The sequence below is a fragment of the Homo sapiens genome, chromosome 5 (genome assembly GCF_000001405.40).
Source record: "Homo sapiens chromosome 5, GRCh38.p14 Primary Assembly".
NCBI classification, from domain to species: Eukaryota; Metazoa; Chordata; class Mammalia; order Primates; family Hominidae; genus Homo; species Homo sapiens.
In genome coordinates, this window is record NC_000005.10 from 157,520,288 (window position 1) to 157,537,654 (window position 17,367).

The following is a 17,367-nucleotide window of genomic DNA, read 5'->3' on the forward strand; positions in this document are numbered from 1 at the left end:
CCCAACCACCACCACCAAGCTCATCGTGAGACTCCAGGTTAAAAGTCTCTGGACTGGGAAATCTCAAAAAGTTCTAAGAAGGCTGTACCTGTGACACTTAAAACTTATGAAGGATGGTAGGTCCAGGATTCCAAAAAGCCTCCCAAACCAAAACATGGCATATGACAAATCATGGGTCAAAACTTTAGAGACTCAGGAAAAGCAGTACAGTGGCCAGAGAAAGAACAGTGGCCTGCAAGTGAGGTGACCGAGGTTCTGGATTTAGCTCCAACATTCAATTGTCACATGCTCTTCAACAAGCATCTTAAATCTCTCCAAGCGTCAGTTTCCTCATCCCTAACACGGCAATGATAACTTATCAAGACTACTGGATGATTAAGTGGAAAGACAAGGGTCTTTGTGCTTGGAAACCAGAGCTAGATGCATCAGTGATGACACGCCTACTTGTCCCACCTGCCCCACGTCAGCACGGTAGTTATTTGGTGAAGTGACATCCACCACCAAGCATGAGGGACTACTTTTTTTCCTCCCTTGATTATAGATACTAGCACTGAACTCAGAATAAACTCATGTGTCCTAGACATAATCTAGACATAATCCTTGTCCTTGAGAAACTCACAGTCCTCTGGAAGACAGTCACAAACATTTACTGGGCTCCTGCTACGGGCCAGGTATCATGCCAGTTGCTGAGGACGGAATAGCGAACAAGACACACCAAGTGCCTACCCTTGTGAAGCGTTGAGTGTAAACATTGGAATAAGTCACTCTAATGTATAACAGAGAGAGCAAAAAGTTTCATCACCCCTTGGACTGGAGGCAGCTGCTTCAACTGTTACATCACCAAGGCTTCTGAGGGCTTTTCTAGCCTCAGCAAGAAAGAGGACCATGACTTATTATCAATTGCTATTGCTAATGATCAGTGAAGGCCCAGGCAGCAGATATCTGCCAACCTTGATACAATGAGATAAACATGATTGTAAAGGTATGTAATCAAGGCTTAGTGGGAGGAGGAAGCCCAGGAGTAAGCCCCATGGACTCTAGCAGCATTTTGTATGCTCTAAAACCTCAGGCAGGCTCTCATCCATGCAGAGAGCTCAGAACCTACAGCATCTCCAACCCAGTCTTTGCCACTGTAAATTGGCAGGACCTCTCTCTTAGCTTATCTCAGCTTCCACCTCCACCACAACCGCCACTTGGGATTCCTGCCCAGATTTTGCCCTTTGGGAAGAGCCTGTGATGCTCTCTGGAAAATCAGCGCCAGGCTCTGATGGGCAGCAGCCTTTCCCGGATCCCATCCCTGGCTGACCTCATTCCAGATCCAGGAAGCCTGATGACTTCCTGGTTGCCTCACCCAGTCTGACGCAGCAGTACCCAATCACCCCCTCTGACGGACATCTAAGGTACTCCCTGAACATCTGGGGGTGGGAGCGTGGCAAGGAGCAAGGGTCGCATCCACTCCCTAATCCAGCCAGGAAAGGGCAGAGGAGAGAGCTGCTGCACGCATCCTGTTCCCAAGTTATCTTTTCATCTCAGCCAACCAAGGCCTCTCCCATCACCTCAGTTTCCCCTAACGGCTACACACTTTGGGAACACAGAGGGCTTGACCACCAACCAGCTGATGGTTCTGTGTGCACCAGGTTGTGGTTGCCAAGATTACACCCAGTGAGTGGAAAGTTCCATAGAGGAATCAGGGAAAGTTCCAATGGAGGTTCACAAGGCGCAACTGATCTGGCATCACTTGAACAAGCCTGTGAGCTAAACAGGACAGAGACCAAGCCATAGTGTGGTGCACAATAAATAAGAATCCTCATAGTGGCTGCAGATTATAGAGCCTTTGCTATGGACTTGGCACTGTGCTAAGTGAGCATTTTATTCTTCCCACCACCTTCCTAGGATCCTTACAAATATTGTCCCCAACGTACAAATGGGAAAACAAAGGCTCAGCAAGGTTAATTAACCCAAAGTCACACAAACAGTAAGAGTAAGAGTAGGGATTTGTTTTTTGTTTTTGTTTCATCAACTTTTAAGTTCCAGGGTACATGTGCAGGATGGGCAGGTTTGTTACACAGGTAAACATGTGCCATGGTGATTTGCTGCACAGATCAGCCTATCACCTAGGTATTAAAGGAGTCGGGATTTGAATGGAAGCATTCTAGTTCCAAGTCCCACAACCTTACCCTGACCTTCCACTGCCTCAATCATGATAGTCCTGTAGAGGCTGGGCGCTGTGGCTCACACCTGTAATCCCAGCACTTTGGGAGGCCAAGGCGGGTGGATTTCCTGAGCTTAGGAGTTGGAGACCAGCCTGGGCAATATGGTAAAATCCTGTCTCTACTAAAAATACAAAAATTAGCCAGGCGTACTGGCGGGTGCCTGTAATCCCAGCTACTCAGGAGGCTGAGGCAGGAGAATTGCTTGAACCTGGGAGGCGGAGGTTGCAGTGAGCTGAGATCGCACCACTGCACTCCAGCCTGGGCGACAGAGCAAGACTCCATCTCCAAAAGAAAAAAAAATACCCTGTAGAGTGAATTAGAAAGATACCACCAGTCTACAGATGGCTCCAGTGATGGTGCCAGCAGCTCTCTTCTTAGGGGTGATTGGCCTCACCTCAGTTTCCTAAGAGAAAAGATGAAGGAGGTATGCAGCCTACTTTTCACCTTCAGATGCCATTGATTGAGCTAACTGGATGCCAGGCACTGTGTTTACAAATGTTATTCTTATTTCATTCCCACATCATCATTATAAGGAGGCACCCTCATGAGTCCCACTTTATAGATGAAGAAACTGTGGCTCAGAGACATTAAATAACAAGCTCTCATGGTTAAGGGCAGTGTGGGCTCCAGGCATGGGGACTAGGTAATCTGAAGTCAAAGATTTAAGGTCCACAGACTCTGGACCCCATCCCCTTAGCCTCTGTGCTTTCTGCCTCCATCAGTGAGTTCCAAGCCTAAGTGTCAGAGATCTCTAGGAGCAGAGGTCTCAGGGATATCTATTAGAATATTCTACAGTGTATTGAAAACATAGGTATCCAGGTCTGCTGTGGATATGGTTTATTTGTCCCCACCAAGTCTCACGGTAGAATGTGGTCCCATTGTTGGAGGTGGGCCTGGTAGGAGGTGTTAGGGTCATGGGGTGGATCCCTCATGAATGGCTTGGTGCATCCTGGTGGTAATGAGAGAGTTTTTACTCAGCAAATTCCCATGAGAGTTTCCTCAAGAGCTGGTTATTAAAAAGAGCCTGGCACCTCCTCCCTTTCTCTCTCACTTTCTCTCTCACCACTTGATCTCTGCACACACAGGCTCCCCTTCACCTTCTGCCATGAGTGGAAGCAGCCTGAGGCCCTCACCAGAAGCAGATGCTGGTGTCATGCTTCTTGTATGGCTCGCAGAACTGTAAGCCAAAATAAACCTCTTTTCTTTATAAATTACCCAGCCTTACGTATTCCTTTATAGCAACACAAATGGACTAATACAGGGCCCAACCTAAAAAACGCAGAGCTGCAGGCCTGAGTAATTCCCTGCCTAGCCACACTCAGGAACTTTGGCCTACAGACCACCCTCTGTAGCAGGCACCTGCTTTTCACCAGGCCCATAGTAATTCTGATTCAGGGAGTGGGCAGATTACAATTTGAGAGAAACAGAGGCTCAGAAGGACCCTGAAGGTCGTTCCAGCAATAGGATTCTGTGGCCACTTCCCTCCCTTCCTCCAACTGCTGTTCCTGGTTATTTGCCCATGTCACGACTGCAATCCTCTCAGACGGCCTGGGGATGGAGGAGAGGCTGGCACAAGCCCCAGCACTGTCAGTGGACTGCAGCTTTGTTGCTGGGGGAATGTCTGAGAATGTGGTTCCAGGGGCTGTCCCCGCCCTCAACCCTAATTCCTTTAGCTGCCCTCTTCCAAGCACCACCAGTTGTTTATCCTTCTAGGAGCCTTGGTTGATCTAATTTGCTGAATGTTAGCCCTGGCAAAGGCAGAACTCAGCCAGAAGGCATGAGCTGGGGCCCAGGAGGCTGGGTGGCCAGCCTCACATGCCATTCTCCATTCTGTTCTCCATCCTATTGCTCATCGTTAAGAGATGGATACAAATGAAATTGTATAGGAAAACCCGGGCAGGCCAGGCCAGGCAGGCACCAAGCAATTCATGCCTAACCCCTGCATAACTGAAGGATTCACCAAATGCATTCTTCAAGGAACTAGGCCAACAACTGCTTCCTGGGGACTTGTCCATTCAGAGCTAAACCAAAGGGGACACATTCTACATCCCTATACCCAGAGGTGCCCTAAAAAGTAACTACCCTGCTACCCTTCTTTCCTCTCCCCTTCTCTGCAAATTATATCCATCCAAAAGGAGTTACAGGGAACTCCAAAGCCTGCAAAAAAGAGAAGAGAAGGCTTGTAGGTCATGTACTTTCTCAAGGACAGGGTGCCCCCATATAGCACCTGGATTCAAACTCTGGCTGTGCTGTCTCCTAGCTGTGTGGTAAGTGATGTAATAACACTGCCCATCTCACAGAGTTGCTGTGATAATGGACTGAATAGGCAATATTTACTAATAACCAAAGCAGCATTTTAAAAGAACAGCTAACGGTCATTGATTGTGTATTATACATCAAGCAAAGCGCAAAGTGTTTTATTCGATAGCCATTCTACACATCTGTACTGAGAACCCAGTGTGTGACAGGAACTGTTCTCAGCTCGGGAAATAGCATGATCAAAGCAAAGTCCCTGCTGTCAAGGAGTTTGCACTCCTCACCTATTGTAAATCCACCAGTGATGTCAATATTGTTATTCCCATTTTATGGATGAGACAACTGAGACTTGAGAACTTAAGTAGCTTGGCAGGGTTTAAACCAGGAAGTGTCTGGCTCCAGAATCTAAATTCATCACAACTTAATAACACTGTCCTCTGAGGGCTTAATCTGTGCAATGCCTGACACGGAGGTAGCATTTATGATCCATTCTGCAGAAGGAAGGCAAGGAATTCAAAGGTGGAAAGGACTTGCCACTTCTTCTCCAGGGCTGGCTGTGTGTATATGAGCCACCTCCTTCTGCCCCAGGCTCCCACCTCCCTGAGACTCTGCCCAACCTCTCTGCATCCCAGGACTTCCAACACAGAAGGAAGCTTTTAATGGTCTGGTCTACTCTTGTTTTACAGAAAAGAGGAAAGCCCACCCAAAAAAGAACTTGCCCAAGCTCACCTAGCCAGTTAATGTGAGAGCCGGGGCTAATCCCAGCTCTCCTAATGTTCAGGTTCATGACTCTGGGGTATGCCCCTGACCTCACCCCCACTGACCACCCACCCCACTCCCAGGACTTAGCCACCTTTTGGATAGAGTAGGGGCCTGTGGAGGGACCAGCCTGGCCACAGCAAAGACAAGGAAAAAATTTAATGGGGAGAGGAAAACACAGAGATCCACACAGCCAGGAAGTATGTAGCTAGATCTTAAACGTGGATCCCTTGACTTTACATTTTGAGCTTATTCCAGGCCATCATGCACACTTTCCTACACATTCTCCTGCATTCATTTTCAATCTCATGTTCTCCCTCTCTCCCTCTCTCACAGAATCTGAGTCCAGGGACCACGGTTAAGGTGTAATTACAGTGAGAGTGAGCCCTATGTTTTCGAAGGCAGGGCTGCTGTAATATAAGGGTGATCCATCAAATAGACCACTATGGATGATTTATTGCATACCTCTGAAAGACTTTCTATATAATGAAACGTGCCAGACATTAGTACAAACGATATTATGCAACCATTAAAAGAATGAGATAGATCTATGTATACCTAAAACATAATGCTTAAGTTGGAAAAAAAATACAAAACTGTATGCATAGGGTGATCTCATTTGGATTAAATATGTTCATATATACATATATATATATATACACACACACACACACACACACACACACAATTATGTATTTCAATAAAGGATACCTCCAACAGTAATTAAGGATACCTCCAACAGTAATAACAGATGGAGAATGGGATTGGTTGGAAGGGTAGGACAAGATAAACAACTTTCACTTTTTAAAGCTTACACATTCCTGCATGATTTGAACATTTAACACTAAACCTGTATAGTTATATAATGATAATTTTTAACAAAAAAAAATTTTTAAAAAAGTAAACAACTTACCAACCAGATACACTTCCTGCTGATAGACAGTGAGCTACAGACTCACACACAGAGTTTCCCAGAACACACAGGCTCAGTCAGAGACACCTTAACCCAGTATAGATATTTAGAGAATGTCTTAATCTGAGACAGGCTTGGGAGAATGAAACTTGACATCCCCAGTGAGATGGGATGCCACATCTTTTTATTGGTGTCATTTTTTTTTTTTTTGAGATGGGGTCTTGCTTTGTCGCCCAAGCTGGAGTGCAGTGGTGGGATCTCAGCTCACTGCAACCTCTGCCTCCCGGGTTCAAACGGTTCTCCTGCCTCAGCCTCCCAAATAGCTGGGACTACAGGCATGCAACACCACACATGGCTAATTTTTAAATTTTTAGTGGAAATGGAGTTTTGCCATGTCGGCCAGGTTGGTCTCGAACTCCTGACCTCAAGTGATCTGCCTGCCTCGGCCTCCCAAAGTGCTGGAATTACAGGCGTGAGCCACCGCGCCTGGCCTATTGGTGTCATTTATAAGTACCCATAGCTTCCAATCAATTCTCAAAGGGTCCAGGGGCCCAAATAAGATTACAGACATTATATTCCTATATTAGTCCGTTTTCACACTGCTATAAAGAACTACTTGAGACTGGGTAATTTATAAAGGAAAGAGGTTTAATTGACTCACAGTTCTGCATGGCTGGGAGGCCTCAGGAAACTTACAGTCATGGTGGATGGCAAAGGGAAAGCAAGCACCTTCTTCACAAGATGGCAGGAGAGAGGGAGCACAAGGGAAACTGACACTTTTTTTTGTTTGTTTGTTTTTTGAGACAGACTCTCACTCTGTCACCCAGGCTGGAGTGCAGTGATGCGATTTCAGCTCACTGCAAGCTCCGCCTCCCGGGTTCACGCCATTCTCCTGCCTCAGCCTCCCGAATAGCTGGGACTACAGGTGCCCACCACCACGCCTGACTAATTTTTTGTATTTCTAGTAGAGATGGGGTTTCACCGTGTTAGCCAGGATGGTCTCGATCTCCTGATCTTGTGATCTGCCTGCCTCGGCCTCCCAAAGTGCTGGGATTACAGGCGTAAGCCACCGCACCCGGCCAGAAACTGACACTTTTAAACCATCAGATCTTGTAAGAACTCCCTCACTATCACCAGAACAGCATGGGGAGACTGCTCCCATGATTCAATCACCTCCCACCAGGACCCTCCCTCAAAACATGGGGATTGCAATTCGAGATCAGATTTGGGTGGGGACACAGAGCCAAACCATATCAATTACATATCTACGTTCTTTTTTCACAAGGAATATTCCTAAAAGGATATACAAGAAACTAGTAACAACGGCTGTCTCTAGGAAGGGGGAAAATCTGGAAATCTGGGGTGAGAAAGAGATGTTATCTTTCATTGTACACTCTTTTGTACTTTTTGAATTTATTTTTACTAAGATAATACATGACTTCTTCAATTAAAGTAACCTAAAGAACTGCTTTGAAGAGAAGAGGGGGCCTAGCAACCACCTAGAAGCTCAGCTGAATTCCTCTTGGTATCATCAGCTTGAAGATCTCACTTGATAGAAATCCTACCTATTTCTCCAATCATGGGAGCATGTTTCCAGGAAAGAAGAACAATCACTATGGAGATTTTTCACTGCAGCAGTGCTTTATGAGCTTTGGGAGGCGCCTAGTGTTTTGACGACATGGGTTTGAATGTTGCTGCTGTTGCAGCTGCTCCTTCTCCAGGGTTCAAATGGAACCATCTGGCATGAGTCTCCAGCTCTTAAATCAGTCCACCCACAGCCTTGGTTTCTTAAGGCGTGTGTAGTGAGAAGGCTGGGAAAGTAAGGCAGGTGGACCTCACCAGACGGAAGCATGCAAAACAGAAACACACGGACAGCTCACCCGGTATCCCCCTCCCTTTCAGCACTGCTGCTGGAATGATTTACAAGACGCCAAGCCAAGTTCCCACTGCTCCAGACTGAGGGGATGGAGGAAGAGGCAGACAGAAGCAGGTCACACCTGCATGTTCTTTTTCCTCCTTCTTGGGACAAACTTTGTTTACTTGCAGACTGCAGGTGGCGGTGGCTGGGCTTGTAAATACCACTGCGAGGCCAGTTAGCTTGGCTCAATCAGGTCACTTAAGCAGAGGGGATTTGGGGCCACTCTGTTATTGCTTCCCATCCAAAGCCCATTTCCTGCCTGATTTCCTCCAGCCAACTCACCATGCAGCATTCAAACAAAGTCATGGCCCAATTTATAAACAGACACTTGGGACCTGCAGTGTGAGAAACCTTCCATTTGTATAGGAGCCTGCATAAGTCTTAGCATGGTTTCACCGACGTAAGAGGAGGAAAAACCCTTATGTTTAAAAGTACTATAATTACAGCAATAATCTCTACCATGCTTAATACTGATGTTCACTTTATTGACAAGGAAACTGAGGGCTCCAAAATTACAGTGCTGGTTTTCCCTCCACCTGTGTAGGGTATGGGCATTAGGAAGACACCCAATTTCTATTTGTGAATGAAAAATGCAATCATTGAATGAATGAAGCAATCAGTCAAGAGAGGAAGAACACACAATGGAGCCACCTCCTATCAGCTCACCAGAGCCAATCAAAGGCATATCTTCCCAATTCTGCCTTCAATAACATCACATCGGTAGCCTGAAATTGATCATGGTGGGATTATCTTTGTCAGCATATTGGCAGATGCTACAAATCAGGGCTTTTTCCTTTTTGTCATAGAGCCAGTTTACACTGGGCTGAAGTGTCTCACACTGAGCCTGTGTATTCTGGGAAACTGTAGCTCACTGTCTATCACTGCACAGAGGCACCACATAGTACAGACAATCAAAACCCAGGCAATTAGTATATGCAATGAGATACCAGGTTTTTTAGATCATCATCCTTCTTCAAAAAAAAAAAAAGAGGAGGGAGATTGAAAGTGGTCTACATAAATAAGACTTATTATGTCAACATACATGTGTAGATCCTACTGCAAGCAAGGCATTAAGGCAGGCTGGTGGAGAGAAATAGATATTTGAGATATACTTCATATTCTCAAGGAACACACATTCTCAGGTACAGACTGTAATGGGCACACAAATCACTTGGGAGTCTTGGTAAAATGCAGATTAAAATCCAGTAGGTCTGCGTGGAACCTGAGATGCTGCATTTCGAACAAGCTCCCAGGTAAAGTTGATGCTGCCCATCCATGGAACACACCTAGAGAAGCAAAGTCCTAGGAGTTCACTGCATGCTGACAGTGTGCCACTGCAAGTTCCTAGGTAAGATAGCTATTCACAAGCTGAATCCTCACAACTGCAGGCATATATTCTTTTTATCCACATTTTACAAATGAGACCACTGGGACCCAAGGTCACCCAGCTGGTAAACTGCTACCAGCTCAAAGCCAGGTAGTCTCACTCAGAGAAGGAAGGGTCACTCTCAAAAGCACATTCTGGTCAGAACTTTTCAGTTGATTTTCTGTCTTGAAAATTATCCTTGCCTTTCCTTTCACTTCCTACTCTCTGTTCATTAACCGTCCATTTCCTATTTCACCACCTCCAAGTACATCTCCCAGAGAAGAACTGAGGAGGTGTGGAACCAAATGCCCAAACTCATCCATCCCGAGCATATTAACCATGTGTCTTCTTTTTTATCTTCTGTTTCTTTGACATCTGGGTCTTACTGACCATAGAGGGACTGCCCCTTCCAGGATTAGCCAATTCCTAGAGATGGTCAACAATTTCCCAGCTACCTTGCCTTTCAAATGCAAGCCAACCAATCCAGAGTCCATACCCTAGCCATTTATTTTATGGGCACTCTCACCCTCTGGGCCACTATCCCCCTTCCCTAATCACCCCAGAACCAGGTATAGGACAACTAAGGACAGAGAGCCCATAAACCCCAGAGCCTGCTGAAATGATGCAAACTAGCCAATCCTAAACCTGCTTTCTCTGCCTCGCCCATTCCTTCCCGCAGAAACCACAAGAAGGGCGTCTGCTGACATTTCTCCAGACTCCCTCTGCCCGCTGACCAACCCCAGTGCCTCCCCGTGCCGCCCCCCATGGCACAGCCGGGCCCCTCCCTTTTCTGTGAGTATGACCATCTTTTCAATGGCAGTCATCTCCTGATTTTTTGGCCTTACCATACCTAAATAATAACAAAACCTATATTTTAAAACATCAAGTTCATCAGGAAAGTTAAATCCCAATGGATTTCTGGATTACCTAGGCTTTCCCTTGCCCATCCTCCCAGGCTCAGCCCCTCTCTGGGCTGGCTTGCACACATTCTCAATGGACTCCTTCCCAAGGTCCTTGCCTCAGCCTTGTCTATCTTGAAACTTCCATTCCTGGGGAGAGTGCCCGGTGCCACCTGCAGCCTCAGGGTCTCTTACCTAATTCCTCGGCAAGTGCTGAGCGTGACGCTGGACAGTTCTGTCTCCCTCACCGTGCCGTGGTAAAAGCAGTGATCCTAGCAAGGAGAAAGGAGGTGGTCAGGCTAAAGAACACTGATAAGCATGGCAATGTTAATATCTCAGGATGGTCATGGATGACTCATGGCTTATTATATACCTACCCAACCTTATAGCACCTTACAACCTGCAAAGAGCTTTCCAAGCCACCATTTCATCTGATTCCCATAATAATCCTAGGAGACGGGGCAGGGAAGATGTCATTATCTCCATGAAGCAGATGAAAAGCTGAGGCTCAAAGGAGCAAAGAGATTTGCCCAAGGTCTCCCTGCTGATTGGAAAATCCAGAATTTTCCTAGTTCAGGGCTCTTTCAGGAATCAGTGTTTTCTGTGGCCAAAAGCATGCCATGGAAAGAACTTGCCTCCCCACCAATGTTATCTTTGCAACCCCCTGCAATGAGTTGAATAGAATCCCCCTAAAATTCATGTCCACCTCAGAATGTGATTTATTTGGAAATAGGGTCTTGCAGATGTAGTTAAATTAAGGTGATGTCATGCTGGGCCAGGCGTGGTGGCTCACACCTGTAATCCCAGCACTTTGGGAGGCTGAGGCAGATGGATCACTTGAGGTCAGGAGTTCCAGACCGCCCTGGCCAACATGGTGAAACCCTGTCTCTACTAAAAATACAAAAATCAGCCGGATGTGGTGGTGCACACCTATAATCCCAGCTACTCGGGAGGCCGAGGCAGGAGAATTGCTTGAGTCCAGGAGATGGAGGCTGCGGTGAGCCAAGATCGCACCATTGCACTCCAGCCTGGGCGACAGAGTGAGATTCTGTCTCAAGGAAAAGGAAAAAAAAAAAAAAGATGGTGTCATGCTGAATTAGAGAAGGTCCTAAATCCAATGATTTGTGTCCTTCTAACAAGAGGGAAGGACACACAGACACACACACAGAAAGAGAAGAAGGCCATTTGAAGATGGGGGCAGAGACTGGAGTGATGAAGTTGCAAGCCAAGGAACACCAAGGATGGCCAGAAGCCACCAGAAGCTAGAAGAGCCTGGAAGGATTCTCTCCAGAGGCTTGGAGGGAGTATGGCCCCGACAACATCTTGAGTTTGGACTTCTAGACTCCAGGACTGTGAGAAAGTAAAATTCTACTGTTTTAAACCTTTAAGTTTATGGTGCTTTGTTACAGTAGCCCTAGGAAACAAACACTCCCTACTCTTCCACAGCTCAAGATGCTCTTTCACACAAATCCCTCCACATCTGGATTGTACTTGATTTGGTACCTGTGCCCGTGAGGTCTGCTGCTGCTCTCCAGCCACTGTGTCTCATGGCTGTCAGAATTTCTCCATCACTACAAACAGCTGTGACCACCGCTCTGTGCCAGGCCAGGGGCCAGCCCCTGGAGACACCATAGCCAGCAAACGGAGTCACAGCTTCAGCCTTCGTGGGGCTTATGGTCTTGTGAGAGGCAGTCATTAATGAGAAATCCAAACAGATATAATTACAAACCAAAAGAAGGGGCTTGAAATAACCATTTCAAGTGCTGGCCGAGCATTTTATAAGTCAGGTAACCATAGAATTTAGGAAGCAAATACGCACTGTTGGGCATGCTAAAGTGCTAAACCAGACAGAAGGGGGTGAAATCAGGACGGTGTCCAACGAATCAGGGGTAACAACAAGAGACACATTCCTAGAGGCTTCCTCCCAAATAAGTCAAGAGAGATGCACTGGTCAGAACAGAGAGAAGATAAAACCCACAGGGTAGAGCCAAGTTCTGGAAAGATCTCAAAAGGGATGGATGCAAACCACACAGTTGCAGACATGGAAGCTTTCTCTTTTCCCCCATCTCTAGGACCATGCTGCTTGCAGTTGCTTCTTTGTCCCCACCAGACAGGGATGTGACCCAATAATCAGCTACCCCGTGTGTCTGTATTCTCTGGCTCCACCTCCCTCCCAGCTCTAATCCTGAGTATAGACAAATAATTAAATTCAAACATTTTGGCATAGCCAGGCATATTTAAATCCAAGCATACGCAGTTCCACAACTCTCTCTGACCTTCAGTGTCTTTAGCCTCTGTACCCCAGAGTGGTGGTGAGAATATCGTACATAAAGGAGCTAGTAGAGTACTTGGCCGAGAGTGGCAGGCGATAAACATCGGCAACCAAATAATCATGAAATTCTCCTTTATCAAAGAATATGGCCTCAAGGCGCCTGGAAGCCCACCAAGAGGCTGAATCCAAAGCCCTAGCTGTGCCAATGCTCCAGCATATCCAGCCAGCCATGCAGCCAGATCAAAGGATACAGGCCAAGCTGACACTCAACACGGCCTCGTTCTCCAGACCACAGGTGCCCTTTCATCTGCATATGATCCATCGGCCAGCGATGTGGCTCCTCTGCCCATTCAAGCTCATAGTCAGGAGGAGGGACAGAGCCAACCCCTGTCTTTGCATCAAACTCTTCTGGACTTTAAACAAGTCAGATGCCACCCTTGAGAGGAGCACAAAGGAAAGCCAGTGTGCTGTGATTATGAAAGAAGGCGTGGCAGGCAAAACCCTCCTCCTGGCCAGGATTCCAACTGCTTTCAAATGCCAGCCTGTCATGTGGCTTCTCAACCTACCCGTGGGATCTGGGATTTGGAGGCCCCTCATGAAGCACTCAAGTCCTGAACCTGGTCCTTAGAACTCAACAGGGGAGCCACAAACCCCGTAGCACAGGATTACTCATGGGGAGAAGAGGGGCCGGGCCTGTGTGGAGTAAATGGGGCTCAGAGAAGTTGGAATGACAGAGAATCAAGGAGTTCAGAAACGTGTATCAGCTACAGTTTCAAAACGCTGGTTAACAGAAAGAACTGAGGCCAGGCGCGGTGGCTCATGCCCGTAATCCCAGCACTTTGGGAGGTCAAGGTGGGCGAATCATGAGGTCAAGAGATCTAGACCATCCTGGCCAACAACACGGTGAAACCCTGTCTTTACTAAATATACAAAAAATTAGCTGGGCATGGTGGTGCACTCCTGTCGTCCCAGCTACTCGGAGACTGAGGGAGGAGAATTGCTTGAACCCAGGAGGCGGAGGTTGCAGTGAGCCGAGATGGCACCACTGCACTCCAGCCTGGTGACCGAGCGAGACTCTGTCTCCAAAAAAAGAAAAAAGAAAGAACTGAAACCCAGGGATGGCTGTGAAGAATCCCTGCACCTCTTCCTATCTTTGAATGGATGCTAAGAGTGTTCACAGCCCTAGTTCTCTCGAAAATAGAGCACCTGGCTTCTGTAGCATGCTTTATAATTTACAGAGCTTTCACATACACTATCTCTTGTGATGATGACACCTACAACTTACTATTATTAACAGTAAGAGGTCGGGTGGGGTGGCTCACACCTGTAACCCCAGCACTTTGGGAGGCCGAGGCAGGCAAATCACTTGAGGCCAGGAGTTTGAGACCACCTTAGCCAACATGGTGAAACTCCATTTCTACTAAAAATACAAAAATTAGCCAGGCGTGATGGCGGGCACTTGTAATCCCAGATACTCGGAAGGCTGAGGCATGAGAACTGCTTGAATCCGGGAGGCAGAGGTTGCATTGAGTCAAGATTACGCTACTGCACTCCAGTGTGGGCAACAGAGTGAGACTGTGTCTCAAAACAAACAAACAAACAAACAAAACAATAAGAGCTAACATCTAACCAGGCATGGCGGCTCATGCCTATAATACCAATGCTTTGGGAGGCCAAGGCAAGAGGATCACTTGAAGCTAGGAGTTTGAGGCTGCAGTGAGCTATGATCATGTCACTGCACTCCAGCCTGGGGGACAGAGCGAGGCCCTATGTCTAAAATAAAAGAGCTAACATCTACCCAGCTCTTACTGCTTGCTGAACAACTTAGCAGATTTTTCCTTGTGATTCTGACCACAATCTTATGAGGCAGATATTATTATTGCCATGTTTTAAAGGGGGAAATTGAAAGAGAGGTTTTAAGTCATTCACAAGGTGACACAGCAAAGTGGATACTGGAACCCCAGCAGCCTGGCCCCAAGCTCCATCCTCTGCCTCTCCCAGCAGTAGCAAAGGAGGAACTTGGCTTGTCAGAGCTCTTTTATCCCCACCTTCTCTAGCAACAAAGGAGACAAGTTCTAGCCTAAGCCTTGCCACTTACTGGTTAACTGAACTTGGGCAAGTTACTTTTCCCCTTCTCCTCTCAGTTTCCTCATCTGTAAAATGTGGGGTTGGAAGAGTTGCTTATGAATTCCCATAAAAATTAGTGATTCATCTTACCCTTCCACAGCCCTGCGAGTCAGATATCAGCATATGCAATTTGCAAATGAGAAAACTCAACACTAGTGTGGTCAAGGGGGTTGTTTAAGGTCATATAACTAGTTAAAGCCAAGATAACAACCCTGGCTGCAGATTGCAAACCCTGTCATCCTTTCTGTTGGAACACATTCACAGACCCATTCCCCCAACCGCCTGACCTAGATGCAGGCTGTCGCCTAAAGGCCTGACTGATGAGTCTTGATAAGGTTCCCAGAACTCCAGCTACCCCAGGCCAAGTTTGGTAGTAGAGTGCAGTCTCCAACATTCGGGTCAAGGGCAGCTGAGTAGTTTATTCCATTCCCATTTTTCATTGAGCTCTCAGCTCCCAAATGGGAAGTCTGACTGAGAACCCCATGGGCCTGGGTGGGAGCTTTGCAAGAGTCTAGTAGCAGGGGATGTAAGCAAACAATGAGTTGTCCATCCCAAGGTTCAGCTAGGATGTGCTTCAGTCAACAAGACCTTCTGGAAGGAGGGGATTCTGGGAGAGGGGGAGTTCTTTTCCAATCCTCTCTTTCTGAAAGGCCCTTACAACATCTCTGCCTAATGCACAAGCAGAGAGCACAAAGAACAAGTCAAGGATCAGTCATGAAGTCATTGCATTCCTCAGCTTCTCAGCCTGATGGGGCCACCCCAAGGGGGCTTTCATAGCAGGAAGCGTGAGCTCATGGCAAATTCGTGGACTGAGACCCATTCTTGAGCTGTGGGTACAGAAGTGGCAGGATCCAAACTCAGAGGAGAGTGTTTGAAGGAGGCTGTCATGGCTAACAGCTTTCTAGGCATGCCTGTTCCCCCATCCCACCCCTGCCCCTGGAGGCAGAGAACAGAGGTCTCAAGAAGAGAGGAAAAGTTTTGACCAAGGGGCATTGAAGAATATGAAGTCACAACTGGACAGCCTCCCTGGGGATGAGAAGACACAGTCCAACTTTGCTGCAGGCACCGGCCACACTACCAACTCCTTCCCCATCCAAGAAAGTCTTGGTTAAGAAGGCAGCACTGGTCTTCACATTCAGCCACAAAACACAGCCCCTGAGCTACCCAGTTACTATGCGCCACGTCTCTTGGATCTATCAAAAACTGTGGCCGGGCACAGTGGCCTGTAATCTCAGCGCTTTGGGAGGCTGAGGTGGGTGGATCACCTTAGGTCAGAAGTTCGAGACCAGCTTGGCCAACATGGTGAAACCCCATCTCTACTAAAAATACAAAATTAGCCGGGCGCAGTGGATCATGCCTATAATCCCAGCACTTTGGGAGGCCAAGGTGGGCAGATCACCTGAGGTCAGGAGTTCGAGAATAGCTTGGCCAACATGGTGAAACCCTGTCTCTACTAAAAATACAAAAATTAGCCAAGTGTGGTGATGCATGCCTGTAATCCCACCTACTGGGGAGGCTGAGACAGGAGAATTGCCTGAACCCAAGAGGCGGAGGTTGCAGTGAGCCAAGATCGCACCACTGCACTCCAGCCTAGGTTACAGAGTGAAACTCTGTCACACACACACACACACACAAAATTACCTGTCCTGTGTCCCTTTCCCCATCCAGGGGTAATCTGGCGAACTAATCTGAGCTGTTAATGACTGATAGTGGCCAGTGTTATCTTGCTGGACACTTGCACTCCAGCAGGGATATTTTAAAGAATGGGCCTGGTAGAACACTCAGGTTCCATGAGAAGCTGCTGAAGGAGTCCTGATGCAGAGGGACCTCTCCTGCTGTTCTCCACACCACAACTCCCAGTCTGTGTGCCTCAGTAGTCCATTATGTCCTGCCCCAAAGGCAAAGGCCACTGCTGCTCCTGCCAGTGTGCGTCTTCCCTTCTTCACCCCCATCTCACCAGCCCAGACTTTGAGAATGGTCATTCGAATCCAGGGTTTCTCAACTTGGGCACTATGGATATTTGGAGCTGGATAATTCTGTTGTGGGGGAGTGGTGGGTCTGTCCTATGCATTATAGAATGTAGATGCCAGTAGATCCTCCCTGCCAGTCACGGCAATAAAAATTGCCTGCAAACATTGCCAGGTGTCCCTCGGGGTCGGGGCAACGCCATTGGTTCTCCTGGTTGAGAATCAACGTTCTGAGCCTACAAATTCCAATAGGCATCCCTGTAAGAAGAGCTAGCCACCATGAAATGTGTATCATTCACTACTTTAAATGTCTACCAGTGGAGTGTGGCAAAGCAAACTGACATGTAACCATCTGAAAGACCATTTTCTAAATGAAAGATCTTTGACATTGCGTAAACATCCCTACTCAAAAACAACTTTGAGGGAAAAAATGTCCAATATGAATATAGAAGCAAAATAAAATATTCATAACTTAAAAATCACATTAAAATAGCAGACTACAAAATGTATATGCACAGTGATTACAACTCTGTAAATGTTATACATCCATTTAAAAAGGACTAATCAAACATCTAATTGGATGAGACGACAGGATTATGAGTAAGTCACTCCTTTTACTAAAACTTTTGTTAACATGTGGGTAATTAACATAAAGCAAAGAACATGTATATTTCACA

At 46.9% G+C, this 17,367-nt stretch overlaps 1 protein-coding gene across 2 annotated transcripts in view, besides 1 other annotated feature; it reads right to left on the reverse strand.

Annotated features, from left to right (window-relative positions):
• ADAM19 (ADAM metallopeptidase domain 19) overlaps positions 1 to 17,367 on the reverse strand; it is a 98,472-nt gene that overhangs the window by 42,984 nt on the left and 38,121 nt on the right. For both annotated transcript variants that reach the window (NM_033274.5, XM_047417858.1), the window contains exon 5: positions 10,520 to 10,596. In NM_033274.5, coding sequence (NP_150377.1) covers positions 10,520 to 10,596 — 77 coding nt within the window. The remainder of the gene's footprint in view (positions 1 to 10,519; positions 10,597 to 17,367) is intronic.
• Positions 3,806 to 4,305: an enhancer, noted in NCBI's record as "H3K27ac hESC enhancer chr5:156951101-156951600 (GRCh37/hg19 assembly coordinates)". NCBI's record gives its function as "activates a minimal SCP1, AML or CMV promoter by ChIP-STARR-seq in primed H9 embryonic stem cells {active_cell/tissue: H9 hESC(primed)}" and the evidence as "EXISTENCE:reporter gene assay evidence [ECO:0000049][PMID:30033119]".